This window comes from Homo sapiens, chromosome 2 (genome assembly GCF_000001405.40).
Source record: "Homo sapiens chromosome 2, GRCh38.p14 Primary Assembly".
Taxonomy (NCBI): domain Eukaryota; kingdom Metazoa; phylum Chordata; class Mammalia; order Primates; family Hominidae; genus Homo; species Homo sapiens.
This window is the reverse complement of record NC_000002.12, coordinates 195,682,519-195,703,580: the sequence shown is the minus strand read 5'-3', so window position 1 is coordinate 195,703,580 and position 21,062 is coordinate 195,682,519. Positions and strand designations below refer to the sequence as shown.

The 21,062-nt window shown below is 35.6% G+C and overlaps 1 protein-coding gene across 10 annotated transcripts in view, besides 2 other annotated features; it reads right to left on the bottom strand.

The window, feature by feature from the left end:
* SLC39A10 (solute carrier family 39 member 10) overlaps positions 1 to 21,062 on the bottom strand; it is a 124,672-nt gene that overhangs the window by 34,120 nt on the left and 69,490 nt on the right. For 9 of the 10 annotated variants that reach the window (XM_011511504.3, NM_001127257.2, XM_005246689.5 and 6 more), the window contains one exon: positions 19,675 to 19,882. In XM_011511504.3, coding sequence (XP_011509806.1) covers positions 19,675 to 19,882 — 208 coding nt within the window. Of the gene's footprint in view, positions 1 to 13,376; positions 19,135 to 19,674; positions 19,883 to 21,062 lie in introns of those variants that run through there. The other variant, XM_017004523.2, reaches the window with a different exon arrangement.
* Positions 7,603 to 8,802: an enhancer, noted in NCBI's record as "P300/CBP strongly-dependent group 1 enhancer chr2:196559503-196560702 (GRCh37/hg19 assembly coordinates)". NCBI's record gives its function as "activates an origin of replication core promoter dependent on BRD2, BRD4, P300/CBP, MED14 and CDK7 cofactors, with strong dependence on P300/CBP, by STARR-seq in HCT116 cells {active_cell/tissue: HCT116}" and the evidence as "EXISTENCE:reporter gene assay evidence [ECO:0000049][PMID:35650434]".
* Positions 8,102 to 8,396: an enhancer, noted in NCBI's record as "tiled region #4685; HepG2 Activating non-DNase unmatched - State 10:DNaseD, and K562 Activating DNase matched - State 5:Enh". NCBI's record gives its function as "activates a minimal TATA promoter and a strong SV40 promoter by Sharpr-MPRA in HepG2 and K562 cells {active_cell/tissue: HepG2 | K562}" and the evidence as "EXISTENCE:reporter gene assay evidence [ECO:0000049][PMID:27701403]".

Sequence of the window (21,062 nt, the reverse complement as noted above, 5' to 3'; positions counted from 1 at the left end):
TTTAAAAATATTTTTCTATTTCTTTTAGAGGAAATATGTATAGCATGCTTGCTATATAAAATATTTTAAAGACTACCTTCAAAAGATTTTTAACTGACTAAAAAAAAAGACCTAAATTCTAGGACTAAAATTGATCCTATATCTTTTGATAACTTTGTTTTTGCATATAAAACATAGAGGGCACAACTGGAAATATTATAACATAGTTAATTACTCCTTCATATATACATTGCCTTGATTGACAGAGTTGAAAATTATAAAAATATTTTCAAAGATGCCAATTATTCTGCCCCTTTAAAAAGAGAATTGTTCTAAATTATTTGCTTGTGATTAGCTACTTGAACTGGCCACATACTAGCTATTGTCATATTATACTGCTAGAAAAAACTTTAATAATCTAGCATTTCTCAAACTGAGCTCATTAGTTCTATGAGATAGGGGGTATTTCAAAGGGGAGGGAGGAGAAATTTGATAATCAAGTAAGTTTTGGTAATGCTGAATTACACAGGTTCCTTCAGAGCCTCTAACAGTTTAATAAGCAATGTGAATCTCTGAAAGAAGAATACAATATGCAGCATTTTCCCAACTTATCTGATCATGGAATTTATTAGTCTAGGAGAGGGTCTTCAAAAAGTTCATGGAAAATGCATATTATGAAAAAAATCAATTTACTTGTGCCCTAATTGAAAAGGACCAACAATTAACAGCACAAACAATACTCAACACCACAGACATCTCAGCTGGTTGACCTAACACAATTCTGACAGAAAAATTAAAGTTGAACAAACTTTCCGCTCAACTGGTGCCAAAACTCCTGTGCCCAGATCAGCTGTAGACAAGAGAAGAACTTTCCATGGAAATTTTAAACAAGTGGGAGCAGGATGCTAAAGTATTTCTTTGAAGAATTGAAGAAGGAAATGAAACATGGCCTTAATAGTATGATCCTGTAATTAATGCCAATGAACTGTATACTTAAACATGGTTAAAAGAGGAGGATTCTGGAAAGACTGTGGAGTAGGAAGCACCAGAAATCTGTATGCCTCCTAAACTGTAAATGAACTGACAAAATCTGTCTGATGTTAACTACTTTGGAACTCTGTAGTCTATTGAAGGCTTGCAACTTCTAGGGGAAAGCTCGATGGTAAAATGTGGTTAATTCTGATCAATTTCAGCTCTTAGTTTAGTGGCAGCTACCCATCTGCCATCCTTAGTCCTTTGAAAGGAAGCTGTGCCTGGTGTCCTGAATTCAATCTACAGGACCCTACAATTACAGGAGCTAGAGTAGACAAAATGTATTTTGCTCCCCAAATATTGAGGATCTGTACTCTGATCACTGATTCTGATCACAGAAGTACAGGCAGAGACAGGTGGCCATGTTGCTGTACCTCTCCTCATTTTTGCAAATCTCTCTCCTGGCTAAAGTGACTTCCAGGGGATTTAAAAGGCCAGCACCTCTTTTTCCTCCCTTCTTTTTTTCTCTTTTGGGAGCCAGGCAATAAATATTGGAAAATTCAAAAATAACTACATACTTGGAGAAAATTAGAAAGTAATCATGCATGCCTAGGGAAAGGCACAGGCTCAAAAAGGACCTGTGAAGATAGGCTAGGTGCAGTGGCTCATGCCTGTAATCCTAACACTCTGGGAGGCTGTGATGGGAGATTACCTGAGCCCAGGCGTTTGAGACCAGCCTGGGCAACATGACAAAAACCCATCTCTACTAAAAATACAAAAACTAGCTGGGCATGGTGGCACATGCCTGTAGTTCCAGCTACTCTGGAGGCTGAGGCGGGAGGATCACCTGAGCCCAGAAGGTTGAGGCTGTAGTGAGCCATGATCATGCCACTGCACTCCAGCCTGGGTGACAAAGTGAGATCCTGTCTCAAAAAAACAAAAAACAAAAAAAACCTGTGAAAATCTTATGTTTATCCCACAGAGACAGCATAAAACAATAACCCTCCCCAACCCAAATTAATAACAAACAAACACAATTTAACAAGAAAATAGCAAACCCTGGGGAAGGAGAAGAATCTGACTTCCAGAGTTAGCATATTATTAGAATCAAATGTCCAGTTTTCATAAAACCAAAAGGCATACAAAGAAACAAAAAAGCAAGGCACATTAAAAAAAAAAAAAAAAAAAAAAAAAGAATCACAGAAACTGTCCCTGAAAAAGACCTAATGGCAGATCTACTAGACAATGACTTTAAAACAACTGTCTGAAGGATGCTAAAAAAAAAAAAAAAAGTCAAGAAGATAATGTATAAACAAAATGGAAGTATCAATAAAGGGGTAGAAAAACTAAAGATAAATCAAAAAGAAACTCTGGAACTGCGAAGTACAATAACTGAAATGAAAAATTCACTAGAGAGATTCAAAGGCAGATTTGAGCAGGCTGAAGTATCAGTGGACTTGAAAACAGGACAATGGAAATTACTGATGCTGAAGAACAGAAAGAAAAAATATTGACTAAAAACGAACAGAGCCTATGGGACCTGGAGGGTACCACCAACAGACCAACATCCATATACACTGTAGAAGTCAAGTAAGATGAAGGGGAGGGGTGGGGTGGGGGGGAGGGACAGCAAGAATATTTTAAGAAATAATGGCTAAAAACTTCCCAAATTTGATGAAGGGCATGAATATAACCATCTAAGAAGCTAAATGAACTCCAATAAGAGGAACTCAAGAGACCCACACCAAGACATATTATAATCAAACTCTTGAAAGACCAAGAGAGACTCCTGAAAGCTGCAAGAGAAGCAACTCATCACATATAAGAAGCTCTCAATAAGATTACAAGCAGATTTCTCAACAGAAACTTTGTGGGTCAGAAGGCAATAGACCGATACATTCAAAGTCCTAAATGAAAAAACAAAATTGTCAACCAAGAATCCTATATGCTGCAAAATTGACGTTCAAAAGTGAGGGAGAAACTAAGACATTCCCAAGTAAACAAAAGCTGAGGGAGTTTGTTGCCACTAGACTTGCCCTGTAAGAAATAAGAGAGTCCTTCAAGGGGAAAGGACACTAAACAGTAACCTGAAAGGTGTGGAGAAAGGTGTGGCGATGAAGTTGTAAAGGAGCAGAATTTTTGTATGCTATTGAAGTTAAAATGATATAAATTCAAATTAGACTGTTTTAACTTTAGGCTGCTAAACGTAATCCCCATAATAACCACAAGAAAACAGCACAGAATATACACAAAAGGAAATGAAAAAGGAATTTAACCTTTTCACTACCAAAAAAAGTCAACTAAATACAATGGAAGACATTAGCAGTAGGAATGAAGGACAAAAAAAGCATTAAGGCATACAGAAAAACAAACAGCAAAATAACAGAAGTCCTTCCTTATCAGTAATTACTTTAAATGTAAATGGATTAAACTCTCCAATCAACTGACAGAAATTGGCAGAATGAATAAAAACACATGAGTCAACTATGTGTTATATACAAGAGACTCACTTTACATCAAAGACACAAACAGGCTGAAACTGAAAAGATGGAAAACGATATTCCATGAAAATAGTAACCAAAAGAGAGCAGGGGTGGTTAAACTAATATCAAACTAGACTTTTAAATCAAAAAAGGTTACAAGAAACAAGGAAGGACAGCGATAAAACAATTATAAACGTTTATGTACCTAAAAATAGAATATCAAAATATACAAAACAAAAACTGTCACAATTGACGGGAGATAATAGTTGGAGACCTCAGTACTCCACTTTCAATAATGAATAAAACAGCTATCCAGCAGACAGGCAAGGAAATAGAGGACTTAATACAATAAACCAACTACATCTAATATACATATAAGGAACACTACTCAAAACAGCACTAGAAACATTCATCAATGCACATGGAACATTTTCCAGGATAGACCATGTATTAGGTCGCAAATTAAGTCTCAAGAGATTTAAAAATATAAATATAATACAAAGTGTCTTCTCCTACCATAATGGAATAGTTAGAAATCAACTACTGAAGTAAAACTGGAAAATTTACAAATTCATAGAAATTAAACAACATATTCTTAACAACTGGATCAAGGAAGAAATTACAAGGGACATTAGAAAATACTTAAGAGACAAATGAAAACAAAACTACAACCAAAACTTAAGGGATACATCTAAACTAGTGCTAAGGGAAAAACAGATAATTATTAACACTCACATGAAAAAAACAAGTAAGATCTCAAACCAAAAACTTAACATTACACTTAAGGGACTAGAAAAAGAAGAACAAAATAAGCCAAGACTAGCAGAAGGAAGAATATAATAAAAATTAGACCAGAGGTAAATGAATAGAGAGCAGAAAAACAAAATCAATGAAACCTATAGTTGATTCTTGGAAAAGATCACAAAATTGACAAACCTTTAGCTAGACTGACTAAGAAAAAGAGAGAAGATACAAATTACTAAATTCAGAAATTAAAGTGGGGATGTTACTACTGATTACAAAGAAATAAAAAGGATTATAATAGAATACTATGAACAGCTGTAAACCAACAAACTGGATAACCTATATGAAATGGACAAATTCCTGGCAACACAAAACCTACCAAGACTAAATCATGAAAAAACAGAAAATGGGAATAGACTATAACTGGTAAGACTGAATCAGAAATCAAAAATCTTCCAACAAAACAAAGTCCTGGACCTGATAAATTCTACCTAACATTTAAAGAAGAACTAATACCAATCCTTCTCAAACTTTTTCCAAAAAAATCAAAGAGGAGGTAACACTTTCTAACTCATTCTATGAGGCCAGCATTACCCTGATACTAAAGGTATCAAAGACACTACAAGAAATGACAACTACAGACCAATATCCCTTATGAACACAGATGTAAAAATTGTCAAAGAAAAAAAAAACTAGCAAATAAAATCCAGCAACATATTAAAAGGATTATACAACCTGACTAAATGGGATTTATTGCTGGAATGCAATAAAAGTTCAATATATAAAAATCCATATGTATTAACAGAATAAAGAAAAAAACACCCACATGATCATCTCAATGAGCAGAAAAAGCACATGACAAAATTCAATATCCTCTCATGATCAAAAGACTCAACAAACTAGGAACAGACAGAAACAACCTTACATAATAAAAGCCATATATGAAAAACTTACAGTAAACATCATACTCAATGGTGAAAGACAAAGCCTTTCCTCTAAGATGAAGAACAAAACAAGGATGCTTGCTTTCATCACTTCTATTCAATATAGTACTGGAAGTTCTAGCCAAACAATTAGGCAAGAAAAAAATTAAAAACATCCAATTTGGAAAGGAGTAAGTAAAATTACATCTGTTTGCACTTGATCTTACATATAGAAAATCATAAAGATTCCACACAAGCACTTGATTTTTCAAGTTGCCTGCTTGGCCCTCTTCCAAGTACTCTACTTTCTCTAATAAACTCTCACTTTTCTTAAAATAAATTCTCTGCTGTTTAAAAAAAACAAAAAAGATTTCACACAAAAAAGTATTAGAATGAATTCAGCAAAATAGCGGGATACAAAGTTAACACAAAAATCAGTTGCATTTTTATATATACTAACAATGAACCATCTGAAAAGGAAATTATGAAAACAATTCCACTTACAATAGCATCAAAAAGAATAAAATACTTAGCAATTAACTTAACCAAGGAGGTAGAAGACCTGTACAATGAAAACTACAAAACATTCTGACTGGTGTAAGATGGTATCTCATTGTGGTTTTGATTTGCATTTCTCTAATAATCAGTGATGTGGAGCTTTTCTTCATATGCTTGTTGGCTGCACGTATGTCTTTTATTGAAAAGTGTTTATTCATGTCCTTTGCCCACTTTTTAATGGGGTCGTTTTTTCTTGTAAATTTGTTTAAATTCCTTATAGATGCTGGAGATTAGAGCTTTGTCATATGCATAACTTTGCAAAATTTTTCTCCCATTCTGTAGGCTGTCCCCTCTATGAGGGGAACAAGAGACACTGACGCCTATTCCATGGTGAAGGTGGGGAGGGACAGCATCAGGAAAAATAACTAATGGGCACTAGGCTTAATACCTGGGTGACTAATCTGTACAACAAAATCCTATGACACAAATTTACCTATATAACAAACCTGCATGTGTAACTTGAACTTGAAAGTTAAATTTAAAAAAAGAGTAAAAAAGAAAACTACAAAATATTGCAGAAAGAAATTAAAGAAGACAAATAAATGAAAACATACCCCATGTTCACGGATTGGAAGACTTAATACAGTCATCACTTGGTATCTGCAGAAATTAGTTCTAGTACCCCCCTACAGACACCAAAATCTGTGGATGCTCAAGTGCCTTATGTAATATAGCATAATAATTGCATTTAATCTATGCACATCCTCTCTTATATTTTAAATCATTATTAAATTATAGTTGATCATTGAGCAACATGGGTTTGAACTGCGAGGATCCACTTAATACATGGATATTTTTCTGCCTTGGCCACCCCTGAGACAGTTAAGACCAACAGATCCCTCCCTCTTCCACCTCTGTCCTCAGCCTACTCAACATGAAGATGATGAGAATGAAGACCTTTATCATGATTCACTTTCATTTAATGAATAGTTAATATGAATAACGAATAGAAAATCCTAAAGATTCCACACAGGCACTTGATTTTTCAAGTCACCTGCTTGGCCCTTTTCCAAGTGTACTATACTTTCTCCAATAAACTCTCACTTTGCTTAAAATAAATTCTCTGCTGCATATCCTTACAATTAATAATAAATTCTACATAAATTCCTTATGATTTTCTTAATATATTTTCTTTTCTCTAGCTTATTTTATTCTAAGAATATACAATATATAATAGATATAACATACTGTTGACATAAATTGACTATATTATTGGTAAGGCTTCTGGTCAACAGTAGGCTACTAGTAGTTGTATTTTGGGAGAGCGAAAAGTTATACACAAATTTTCGACTACACGGGGATTAGCACTGCTAATCCCCCCACGTTGTTCAAGGGCCAACTGTAATTTATAATATCTAACACAATATAAATGCTATGCAAATAGTTGTATTGCTTTTTATTTGTGTTATTTTTTTACTCTTGTATTATTTTTATATTTTCCCCAAATATTTTTGGTCCTTGGGTTGGTTGAATCTGCACATGCAGAACTCACAGATATTAAGGGTGGACTGTACTGCTAAGATGTCAATGCTGCCCAAGTTGATTTACAGATTCAATGCAATCCCTATTAAAATCCTAATGATAGGTTTTTTTTTTTTTTTTCAGAAATAAAAAATAAAAAACATCCTAAAATTCATGTGAAACTGCAAGGAACCCAAAATAGCCAAGATAAACTTGAAAAACAAAAACAGAACTGGAGGACTCACACTTCCTGATTTTAAAACTTACTACACAAAGCTACAGTAATCAAAACAGTTCAGTAACGGCATAAAAACAGACATACCAATGGAATAGAAGAGAGAGCCTGGAAATAAGCCTTCAAATATATGGTTAAATGATTTTTGACAAGGGTGCAAGATCATTTAATGACAGAAAGAACAGTCTTTTCAACAAATGATGCAAGAAAAACCAGATATCCACATGCAAAAGAAAGCAGTTGGACTCTTATTTAGCACTATACATAAAAATTAATTCAAAATGAATCAAATACCTAAATTAAATATATGACCTAAAACTATAAAACTCTTAGAAGAAAACTGGGCAAAAGCTTCACAACATTAGATTTGAGAATAATTTCTGAAAAATGAAACCAAAGGCACAGGCAAAAACAAAAAAACAGACAAACTGGATTTCATAAACATTTTAAAAATTTGTGCATCAAAAGACAATTACGGATTAAGATGGCGGATAGGCGGCTGGAATAGCTTGCAGCTCCTGCTCGGACAGAGCAGCATGTGGAGACTCACATCCTGAACTTTTCCTCCAAGAACTACCACAGCAACATACCAAAAAGCTGAGAGAATTCACAGACCTTTGGAGGAACTGGATTGCCTCTGCAGGCTCCCTGAGACACCAAAAAAACTGTGAGTCCACTTGCTTTCTCAGTGGGGAGGCTGGTGATCTCGGGCAGTTCTCAGTCCTGCTCACTGGCTGCCTGGAAATAGACTCGGTGCTTCTCCGGGGGAATGGTGGGAGTGAGACCCACCTTCAGGACTGCAGGTTGTGTGGGAGTGTGGTGAGGCCTGTGACTGCCAGTTTTCCCCCACTTCCCTGATGACCTGTGTGACTCAGCAGAGGCAGCCATAATCCCCCTGGGAACAAAACTCCATTGGCCTGGGAACCACATCCCCATCCCCCACAGCGGCCACAGGAAGCCCCACCCAAGGAGAGTCTGAGCTCAGCCATGCCTATCTCTACCCCAACCTGGTGGTCTTTCTCTACCTGCCCAGGTTGCCAAAGGCAAAGTGAGACAGCCAGGTGGGAGGGGGTCCCCAGAAAAACTCCAACTGGCTTGAGCACTGAGAGGAATGCGCACTGGGGTGGAGCCTCAGGAAGTTGCCTCCGTTTGCAGCTGGGAGAAGCCTGGCCCCTCTTCTTCCTGTGTGGAATCTGGGATGCCTACCTGCGAAGCGAGAAGCACTTTAGCAGGGACTCCGGCCCCGCGGAGAGTCTGTTTTCCCCATTTCTTTCTTTCACTCAGTAAAACCCTGCTGTGCTCACCCTTCAGACCCCATCTGCGAGCCTAAATCTTCATGACCGAGGAAGGACAAGAACCACATCTTTGGTTGAATTGAGGAAAAGTCCGCAATAAAAGGACATAATCTCTTGGGAGCTCTATAGCCCCACCCATCGCCTGATCCTCCCTATACAACTGCAGCTGATGCACTCTTGAAAGCGCCACATCCTGGCTCGATGCCAACCAACACAAAACCAGAGCGCCAAACAAAACTAAAATCAAGGACCTTCACAGTGTCCATTTCACTCTCCTGCTACCTCCTCAAGAACAGGTGCTGGTATCCACAGCTGACAGACCTGAAGGTGGATCACACCACAGGTCTCTCTGCAGACACTCCCTAGTACCAGCCTGGAGCCCAGTAGCTCTCTGCTGGATGGCTGAACCCAGAAGAACAAAAACAATCCTGTAGCTCAGGTCTCCCCTAAGGAAAGGGGGAGAACACCATATCAAGGGAGCACCCAGTGGGACAAAATAATCTAAACAGCAGACCTTGAGTTTTGACTTTAATACTCCACTGACAGCACTAGACAAATCATCAAGACAGAAAGTCAGCAAAGAAACAATGAACTTAAACTATACCCTAAAACAAATGAACGGAACAGATATTTACAGAACATTCTACCCAACAACTGCAGAATATACATTCTATTCATCAGCACATGGAACACTCTCCAAGATAGACCATATGACAAGGCACAAACAAGTCTCAGTAAATTTAAGAAAATGAAAATTGTATCAAGTACTGTCTCAGACCACAATGGAATAAAACTGGAAATCAACTGCAAAAGGAACACTTAAAGCCATACAAATATAAGGAAATTAAATAACCTGCTCCTGAATGGTCATTGTGTCAACAATGAAATCAAGAGGGAATTAAAAAATTATCTGAACTGAGCGATAATAGTGACACAACCTATCAAAACTTCTGAGATACAGCAAAAGCAGTGCTAAAAGTTTATAGCATTAAATGCCTATTACATCAAAAAGTCTGAAAGAGCACAAATAGACAATCCAAGGTCACACCTCACAGAACTGGTGAAGCAAGAACAATCCAAACCCAAACCCAGCAGAAGAAAAGAAATAACAAAGATCAGAGTAGAAATAAATAAAACTGAAACAAACAAACAACAATACAAAAGATAAATGAAACAAAAAGTTGGTTTTTTGAAAAGATAAATAAAATTGATAGACCATTAGTGAGATTAACTAAGAAGAGAGAAGATCCAAATAAGCTCAATTAGAAACCAAACAGGAGGTATTACTGCTGATGCCACAGAAATACAAAAGATTATTACTCAAGACTACTATGAACACCTTTACACACATAAACCAGAAAACCTAGATGAGATGGATAAATTCCTGGAAATATACAACCGTCCTAGATCAAACCAGGAAAATATAGAAACACACCAATAACAAGCAGCGAGATTGAAACAGCCAACAAAAAAAAGTCCAGGACCAGACAGATTCACAGCTGAATTCTATCAGACATTCAAAGAATTGGTGCCAATCCTACGGACACTATTCCTCAGGATACAAAAGGAGGGAATCTTCCCTAAATCATTCTATGAAGCAAGTATCACCCTAATACCAAAACGAGAGAAGGACATAACAAAAAAAGAAAACTACACACCAATATCCTTGATGAACACAGATGCAAAAGTCCTCAACAAAATACTAGTGAACCAACTCCAACAGCATATCAAAACGGTAATCTACCATGATCAAGTGGATTTCATACTAGGGATGCAGGAATGGTTTAACATCTGCAAGTCAATAAATGTGATACACCACATAAACAAAATTAAAAACAAAATCACAAGATCATCTTGATAGATGCAGAAAAAGCATTTGACAAAATCCAGCATTCCTTTATGATTAAAACCCTCAGCAATTTTGCTGAGAAGGGACATACCTTAAGGTAATAAAAGCCATCTATGACAAACCCACGGCTAATATTATACTAAATGGGAAAAAGTTGAAAGCATTCCCTGAGAACCGGAACAAGACAAGGATGCCACTTTCACCACTTCTATTCATCATAGTACTGGAAGTCCTAGCCAGAGCAATCAGAGAAGGGAAAGAAATCAAGGGCACCCAAATTGGTAAAGAGGAAGTCAAACTGTCACTGTTTCCTGATATGATCGTGTACCTAGAAAACCCTAAAGACTCATCCAAAAAGCTCCCAGAACTAGTAAATGAATTCAGCAAAGTTTCAGGATACAAAATTAATCAGTAGCTCTGCTATACACCAACAGCAACCAAGCTGAGAATCAAATCAAGAACTCAACGCCCTTTACAATAGCTACAAATAAAATAACTTAGGAATATACCAAACCAAGTAGGTTAAAGACCTCTATAAGGAAAACTATAAAACAGTGCTGAAAGACATCATAGATGACACAAACAAATGGAAACACGTCCCATGCTCATGGATAGGTAGAATCGATACTGTGAAATTGACCACACTGCCAAAAGCAATCTACAGATTCAATGCAATTTCCATCAAAATACCATCATCATTCTTCACAAAACTAGAAAAAAAAATCTTAAAATTCATATGGAACCAAAAAAGAGCCTACAGGGCCAATGCAAGACTAAGCAAAAAGAACAAATCTGGAGGTATCACATTACCTGACTTCAAACTATGCTATAAGGCCATAGCCACCAAAACAGCATGGTACTGGTATAAAAATAGGCACATAGACCAATGGAACAGAATAGAGAAACCAGAAATAAAGCCAAATACGCCAACAGATCTTCAACAAAGCCAACAAAAACATAAAGTGGGGAAAGGACACCCTATTTAACAAATGGTGCTGGGATAACTGGTAAGCCATATGTAGAAGAATGAAACTGGATCCTCAGCTCTCACCTTATAAAAAAATCAACTCAAGGTGGAGCAAAGACTTAAATCTAAGACTTGAAACCAGAACATTGGAAACACCCTTCTAGACATTGGCTTAGGCAAAGACTTCATGCCAAGAACCCAAAAGCAAATGCAATAAAAACAAAGATAAACAGATGGGACTTAATTTAACTAAAAAGCTTCTGCACAGCAAAAGAAAATAATCAGCAGAGTTAACAGAAAACCCACGGAGTGGGAGAAAATCTTCACAATCTATGCATCCGACAAGGAACTAATATCCAGAATCTACAAAGAACTGAAACAAACCAGCAAGAGAAAAACAAACAATCCCATCTAAAAGTGGCTCAGGGCATGAATAGACAACTCTCAAAAGAAGATACACAAATGGCCAAGAAACATATGGAAAAATGATCAACAACACTAATTACCAGGGAAATGCAAATCAAAACCGCAATGTGATACCACCTCACTCCTGCAAGAATGGTCATAATCAAAAAACCAAAAAATAATAGATGTTGGCATAGATGTGGTGAAAAGGGAACACTTCTACACTGCTGGTGGGAATGTAAACTAGTACAACCACTATGGAAAAACAGTGTGGAGATTACTTAAAGAACTAAAAGTAGATCTACCATTTGATCCAGCAATCTCATGACTAGGTATCTACCCAGGGGAAAAAAAGTCATTATACAACTAGAATACTTGGACACACGTTTACAGCAGCCCAACTTGCAATTCCAAAAATATGGAACCAGCCCAAATGCCCATCAACCAACGAGTGGATACAGAAAATGTGGTATATATATAGATACACATATATACCATGGAATACTACTCAGCCATAAAAAGAAATAAAACAATGGCATTTGCAGAAACCTGGATGGAATTGGAGACTATTATTCTAAGTGAAGTAACTCAGGAATTGAACACCAAACATCGTATGTTCTCACTTATAATTGGGAGCTAAGCTATGAGGATACAAAGGCATAAAAATGATACAATGAACTTCGGGGACTCAGCGGAAAGGGTGGGAGGGGGGTAAGGGATAAAACTACACATTGGGTACAGTATACACTGGTTGGGTGATGGGTGCAACAAAATCTCAGAAATCACCACTAAAGAACTTATTCATGTAATCAAACTCCACCTGTTCCCCAAAAAACCTATTGAAATAAAAATTTAAAAACAAAAAGACAATTATCAACAGAGTAAAAAGGCAATACATAAAATGGGAGAAAATATTTGCAGATCATATATCTGATAAGGGAGATTAATATTCAGAATATAGAGAACTCCTAAAATTCAACAACAAAAAGAATAACCAGATTAAAAAATGGGCAAAGAACTGTAATAGGCATTTTCTGAAAGGAGATATACAAATTGCCAAAAAGCACATGAAAAGATGCTCAACAGCACTAATCTTTAGGAAAATTCAAATCAGAACTACAATGAGATACCACCTCACACCATTACGATGACTACTATCAAGAAAACAAGTGTTGGCAAAGATGTGGAGAAACTGGGAGACTTGTGCACTCTTGGGGGTAATGTAAAATGGTACAGCCATTATGGAAAATAGTATGGCAGTTCCTCAAAAAGTTAAAAACAGAATTACCAAATGATAGGGCAATTCCACTTCTGGGTATATAACCAAAAGAATTTAAAACAGGGTCTCAGAGAGAGAGAGAGAGATGCCCATGTTCACAGCAACATTATTCACATTAGCTAAACTGTGGAAGCAACCCAACTGTCTATGGACAGATAAATGCATAAGCAAAATGTGGTATATACATGTAATGTAATATTATTCAGCCTTAAAAAGGAAGGAATTTCTTTCTTTTTTTTTTTTTTTTTTTTTTTTTTCAGAGAGTCTCACTCTGTTGCCCAGTCTGGAGTGCAGTGGTGTGATATCGGCTCACTGCAACCTCTGCCTCCCAGTTCAAACAATTCTCCTGCCTCAACGTCCCAAGTAGCTGGGATCACAGGCACCCGCCACCACATCCAGCTAATTTTTGTATTTTTAGTAGAAATGAGGTTTCACCATGTTGGTCAGGCTGGTCTCGAACTCCTGACCTCAGGTGATCTGCCCACCTCAGCCTCCCAAAGTGCTGGGATTATAGGCGTGAGCCACTGTGACCGGCCAGGAAGAAATTGCTGATGCTACAACATGGATGAACCTTGAGGACATAATGCTAAGTGAAATAAGCCAGTCACAAAAAGGCAAATAATGTATGGTTCTATTTATATGAGATGCTTAATCAAAATCATAAACATAAAGACAGTAGATTGATAGGTCCCAGGGTCTGGGGAGAGGGGGAAATAGGAGTTACTATTTAATGGGTATAGAGCTTTGGTTTTACAAGATGAAAAGAGTTACAGAGGCAGATAGTATGGATCGTTGTGTAACATTATGAATGTATTTAATATCACCAAACTGTATACTTAAAAATGGTTAAAATGACAAATTTTGTTACTGTATTTCATCACAGTAAAATTGGAAAAAAATTTGTTAAAATGGCAAATTTTATGTTATATAATTTTACTACAGTTTAAAAACATTTATATAGCTAAAAATAGCAAAGTTAAAACTAAACCCAAAGTCCTCTTTTTTTTTTGAGACAGGTTCTCACTTCGTTATCCAGGTTGGAGTACGGTGGTGTGATCACAGCTCACTACAGCCTCAACCTCCCACGCTAAGGTCATCCTCCTGCCTCCGCCTCCTAAGTAGGTGGGACCACCGGCATGCACCACCATGCCCAGCTAATTTTTTCAAAAATGTAAAAATTATTTATAGAGACATGGTCTCCTTATGTTGCCCAGGCTAGTCTCGAACTCCTGGCCTCAAGGGATGCTCTTGCCTCAGACTGTCAAAGTGCTGAGATTACAGGTGTGAGCCACTGCTCCTAGCCAGTCCTCTAATTTTTAATCCACTGTTTTCTCCACTAAATCATCACAGTCTTTTCAGAGAATCCTTGGCCAAATGATTTATTTATGACTCCTGTGTTTACCTCATAGAGGTGGAGTCACAGAAAAGAAAATCTATAAAAATATAAAGTACAATTAAACATGAAAGTAGGAAGGATTACTAACTTTATTAATCCAAATGGCAGTCCTTCTAAATTTGAGCTAATTAGGATAGAGGCAGACAGGCAAAAGAGTATCTCTACCTTGACAAAACAAACTTATAACTACATAAAATTATCGGAATATATTTATTTCAATGCCAACTAAAAATATACATAAGTAGTAAGGTTAATTATTTATTTTGCATGTAACACACATTGTCACTTACTCCTGCCAGTCCCAAATAAGGAGTAAAAAGCTAGATTTCCCTTTTCAGATAAATCAGAAAATTTCCAGATATTTTCTGTAGATTGCAACTATTTCTGGACAACTATTTCATCAGGAAAACAGTCCTACTACTATTCTCCTAAGTATACAACATTACGAACATGTCTTCTTATCCTGAATTATTAATTTTAAAAAAACTTCAGTTTTCTAAAAGCACTACAAATTCAAATGATAGTTCATTCTTCTAACAACTTGGAATCTTCCAAGGAATAATCCTTTTGACCTATGAGCAGAAATGGGAAGTTGTTTTGAACTTACTGTACTAAAATACTTTCCCATGTTATTTAAATACTTTATTTGTAGAATTTATAACATTTAAATTTAAGCTTACATAAACTCTATCCTAATTTCCTACACGTAGGAAAAAAAACCAATGGTGGTAATAAAATTGTTTTGATTTCTAACCAAATTGTTGTGCTTTTTAATCACAATTCATTTGGTATAAAGCAAAAACTAAACAAAAGGTATCTTTTAAAAACCTTATATAAAACAATATACAAACTATTAAATACCACTAATAAATGTTTTCTTTATATGTACCCAAGATACCATATGCAATAAAAAAGCGCCAAATGTCTGAAACAAGCTTCACTTATTCTGCAAATTGGGTTGCTTAAAATGCTAAAGGTCTTCAAGCTTAGTTATTCACTGACTCCCTTTCTCATTATCTAGAGAGAAAATGCATTCTTTTAAAAAGAAGCGCTCATCTGTGGAAACTTTCTAATTAACTTGGTTCAAAGCATGTGCAAGATGGCAGTTTTCTACACTGCTTCAGCATTTTAATTGACACAAAATGCTTAGCAGCCTATTCACATCCCCCCTTGGTAATTAAGCTAGGGTCAACTCTAGGACTAAATGAGCCAATCTTGTGAAACAAACGATTTCTACCATACACAGTATATAGCATATTAGGTTTACAGCAGTCTTTGAACAAAGTTAATGAGGTAGTAGCTGTGCCACTATGGGAGATTTATATAGAACAAGTTAACCTTTCTTAATGGTGCAGTAGTCATTAAAACTAATTACTAGCAGGGCATTATCTCTAACAATTATTAGCATCTATCAGCACATAATTAATTCAAGCTGCATTTCTGACAATGCTAATAACCACCTGCAAACAACTAATCAATATTCACTATTAGTAACATATTTGTTTTCAAAGCAAGTACAATTTCCTCTAAGGCTTTTCAGATTGAATAAGCTGTAACTTTCAGTATTGCTATAGTCAAGCATCTGTCAACAGCTTCATTACAATATATTGATTATGGCAATATTACAATACAGACAACTCTCATTAAAAGTCATAATCCACAGGTAACATAACAACAAAGAATAAGAATCTTTTCAGAAGCCTTCAAAATAAGAAAAAAAAGCTATTAGTTTTAACTTTAGATCAATCTTGTCAGTCTCCATTTTTCTCTGTAAGGAACAAATAAATCTATTTTATTTTTAATTAAGTTTAATCTCAGACCTAGCTTCCCCTTTCTCCTGCCACAGTGAGAATTTACAGGCACCTGAGAGGGACTAGGCCTCTCAGGGCGCTTATTCATCCACCAAGATCAATAAGCATGAAGTCAAGAAAGAGGACAAATTTATCTATTCGAAGATCAGAATTCAAATCCAGTTCAAAGCCCCACTTTCTCTCCTTTTACTCATCTTACCAGAGAGCCCCACTTGTTTACCAAGAAGACCATTCTTGGATTTTGTTTTAAACCACCAACTTATCTATACTTAAAACAATACTTGCAAATCTGTCAAAATACTACTAAAAATAATTCTATAAAACTGGCCTCATTTCTCTGCCACTTATATTCTAGCAAAGCACTCTCCAAAACCTTTTCAGGAGGAAACAGTAGAACAGGAAGTATAAGAATTACAGCACAGTGGTTATGATTATATGTTGTAGAAGGAGAATACTATAGTTCATAGCATGGCTCTGCTACCTGGCAGCAGTTTGTGTGACCTTGGGCAAGTTACCTGACTTATTCTCTAAGCCTCCTTTTCCTCACCAAATGAAAGTAAACAGAAGTGCCTGTATAGTGGGTTTAATAAATTAAAAGAAATATCCTTGTAAAAATGTTTAGTACAGCACATGGTAAAGTCCCAATAAACATAGGTTTTTGTTTTGTTTTGTTTTGAGACGGAGTCTCACTCTGTTGCCAGGCTGGAGTGCAGTGGCGTGATCTCAGCTCACTGCAACCTCTGCCTCTCAGGTTCAAGCAATTCTCCTGCCTCAGCCTCCCGAGTAGCTGGGACTACAGGCCGCACCACCATATCCAGCTAATTTTTTGTATTTTAGTAGAGAGCATAGGTTATTATAATTAATTTATCTAGTCTAAATTTATTTTCCTATTGCAAAGATATTAACCAGAAATAGAAATGTAGGTGCCTAGAAGACTTTACTTTTTATGTAATAATATTTCCTTTTACTTGTATCTCTATCTCAAATAAAATTCTTATACATTGGAATGGGATGTCTACCTTATTCCTATGCTATGAAATGTTTAAAAATTCTGTCCTCTCAATCCTTTATTATGCCAGAATTCAGTTTTAAGTCCATATTCATATACATCATTTTGCTCATTTTAATTACTATCCTCTAAAGCCACTCTGTCTTTGGCATTTCATCCAGAACTGTGTTCACAGTAATTCCGTCATAGTTTTTCATTACTTCATGGTAAAAAAGTTCATGAAAATCCAACTAATTTTGAGAACATTCATTATCGAAGTATACCAGGCTGACTGATACATTCACATAATGATCTTCAAAGACACATTTCAACAAGTATCTTTCCTGGATTATAACTGAACGCTTATAGACTAATATTAAGCAATTGTATTCATTCAATCAACATAAGAGCTTAAATGGTTTAGTCACTGTATTAAAGCAACTAAAGTCCAACAAAAACAGATTAATTCAATTATTAAGATCCCCCAAGATCTATACTATGAGGGAGACATCTAGAGATGTCAAGGAAGGGAACATAATTTAGCCTAGGATGGTCACTAAGTTTACCCAGAAGGGCCAATACTTGATCTGAATCTTTGAAGAATCGTAGTCGTCAGTCAGGCATGGGGGTTTAGAAAGTGAAGAGGGAGAAAGGGATGGGAGAAAAATGGCACAATCTATTATCAGTAGTTTATTATGGTTAGAACTGAGAAAAGAGGAGAGAAATGAATGATGAGCGTTAAGAATGTCAAGGCAGGCAGGGAGGATCATATTACGGAAAGCCTTGTGGGCCAAGTAAAGGGCTCTGAACAATATAGCATGATGCAGTTTCCTAAAATGTATGAGAAAAAAATATAACTAGCACATCACATCAAATCCATGTTCCAGAGATATAAAAAATATATATTAGTGATAAAATACAAAGTATTAAATAGTGTAAAGATATATGGGAAAAATCACAAAGGTGATACCAGAACTAACTTAATTTGGAAGACAATGTCATAGGGATTAGATACTCAGAGGTTTCATCAGACAAACCTTAGGGTTTGTGGGCTCTGTCAGTTTCCTTATCTTGTTTTTAAAAACAAGGATCATAATATCTCCCTCATAGGATTACTGCCAAAATTTAGTGAAAAAAAAATGCATTTAAAACAACACATAAGATAGCAAAATGGTTACAGGACTAAATCCCAGTACTACCACTTATTAGCTCTGAGATATCAGAAAAGTTACTGGGAAGAGTAACATTACCTATCTCATAAAAGTGTTGTGAGGAGTAAATGAATTCAGCTTAGAACAGTGTCTGCGATATGTGTTTAAGTAAATAAGATTTAAAAAGTATGTATTAACAAAATGTTAGCTATCACTATAAAGAAAAAATTCTGTGTCAGAATCTCTTTGCATTTTAGAAAGGTAAATCTAGTTTAAGTGCTAAGAATGTCTTGCAAGGGGACAAGAACACAGGCAGGGAAGGTTATGAAGTTATTTCAACAATCCAATAACCAAGAAAATCCAGAATTGTTATGACAGAGTGGATGAAGTTAGAAGATACTGAAGAGATAGCTTTAACTGGACTTCATACCTGATTATAGAATGGGAAAAAAAGGAAAAGAAAAAAAAGAGAAAAAGAAAGTCAAAGAGTTCTAGATTTTATCAAAAGAATGAAATTAATGATATTTGGGATCCATTAAGGGGTACAAATTTTGTGTGGAGTATAAGTTTTGAAATATTAAGTGGGAGGTACCTGTGAACACCAAGGTGGAGCCAAGTGGGTACGATGAAAAAAGAGCCTAAGAGAAATTTAAAAATAGTTTTGGTTTTACCCTAGTTGAAGCTCTCTAGAAATACCCATAATAAAGTTCACATGTCAAGTTTGTTAGGCATTTCCCAGACATTCCTGGAGTTTACACACAGTAGCTTCCCTTTTTATGTCTTTAAAATTTTAATCATCTTTGCTTTTCAACAGAGGCACCCTGATAAATGTTAAGTAATTAGAAGAACAAATAACTTTATTTAGGGGGTCCCATTATTTATATTTGCTCATCAAAAATAATCAACTTATCACAAATCTATATTTCATTTTTAATCTAGTTCTCCGTCCATAGCAAAATATCCCTTTGTAATATACCAGAAGAGATAAATAAAACACATTGTGCCCCCGTCTTCCCCCAGTTTCTTTTAAATATGCATATCTAAACCTGATTAAAATATATTTAAAGTCTGACAACAAAAGAAAGTCAATAATTTAGGATTCTTTTCTAATTCAACTATAGTTTAAAAAGTAAGTACAGGTACTATTTTAAGGAGAAAAAACTTAAAATCTCTCTTACCTGATGCCCCTATATTTGCCTCATCTTCAGGAACCAGGTTTTTATCCTTATTTATATCTTCAACTAAAAGTTTGTCAAAATGCTCAATACAAAGTCTGCTGTCGATTTGATATAACAATGCAGGGCAAAGGTATGTAAATAAATCAGTTGAGATGGGAGAGTTGGCACCATGACCATAGTATTTTAATAACTGAGTGACGTTCAAACACTGCAAGGAAAGTGATAAAACAAATTAAATAAGAGTGTCTTTAAGGAGATTATGCAAAAAAATAAATTACTGCCTAAGAAATACTCTAAATATTACTTGCAAATAATCTGTAATACATAGATATCTATTACAAATAAAACTTTTTAATAAGAATTTGTAATAGGGATACACTCAACTATATTACCCAAAACTTTTCATGGACTTTAATAATTTTTCTACTCCAACACATGAAAGATAATGACTTTCTGTCATGGATAAGGATGACTCACAACTATATCCCCAAGACTCTCGTAGGATGATGAGAAAAATCATTTCCCTATCAAATTGCAATCATCGGTGACTCAAGATCCTTATCTGTGAAACAGATTAAATAGATTTAGAGTACTTTAATGGCTTATATAGACATTTTCATTGCCAAATGCACTCTAAAAGCATATTGTTTTGGAAAATTCTAGCCCAATGTCGGTTGATAGGAACAAAACTGGAAGATAAAAATAAAGGCAGCTTCATCCACTGGTACTTTAAAAACAAACAAAAAAAAAAGTAAGCTTAAAACTGATTAAAGAGGAGAAAGAAAAAAATAATAAAAAACAAAACAACGCAGAAAACAAATAGCAAACAAGTTTGGATCCATCATATGGTTAAAAACAAGTATCTAATATTACGGCAAAAGAGATTGGCACTGTCCCTTTGTCACATATATCTGCTCTGGTTGCATGCTTGTTTATTGACTTGCTACCTCACTATATGGCTTTATCTATGGCACCAAAAAAAACCCATCAAAAACTAAAATCAAAACCTATAAACACAGAAAAATGATTCTTCTTAGTTTTTTTTTTTTATTTTTTATTTTTTTCTATTTAGCACCACTTAATTGCTTTTGATCTTCTTAGGTCTTAACTACCATAAGGTACTACTCTATTAAAAGTATTGAACATTTCAGAATCATGAGATTCCCAGTATACATCAGACCTATCAGAATAGCATTAACAAGTCTAATAATGCAAACCTCACGGATGTGATACAAAGAGGAAATGAACAATAAAATCTTGTAATTATCAACAAAATATTCTAGGATATTATCCTAAGTCATAATAATTAATTATCCTAAGTCATAATAATTAATGCACTGTAATCCCAGCACTTTGGGAAGTTAAGGCTGGAGAACTACTTGAGGCGA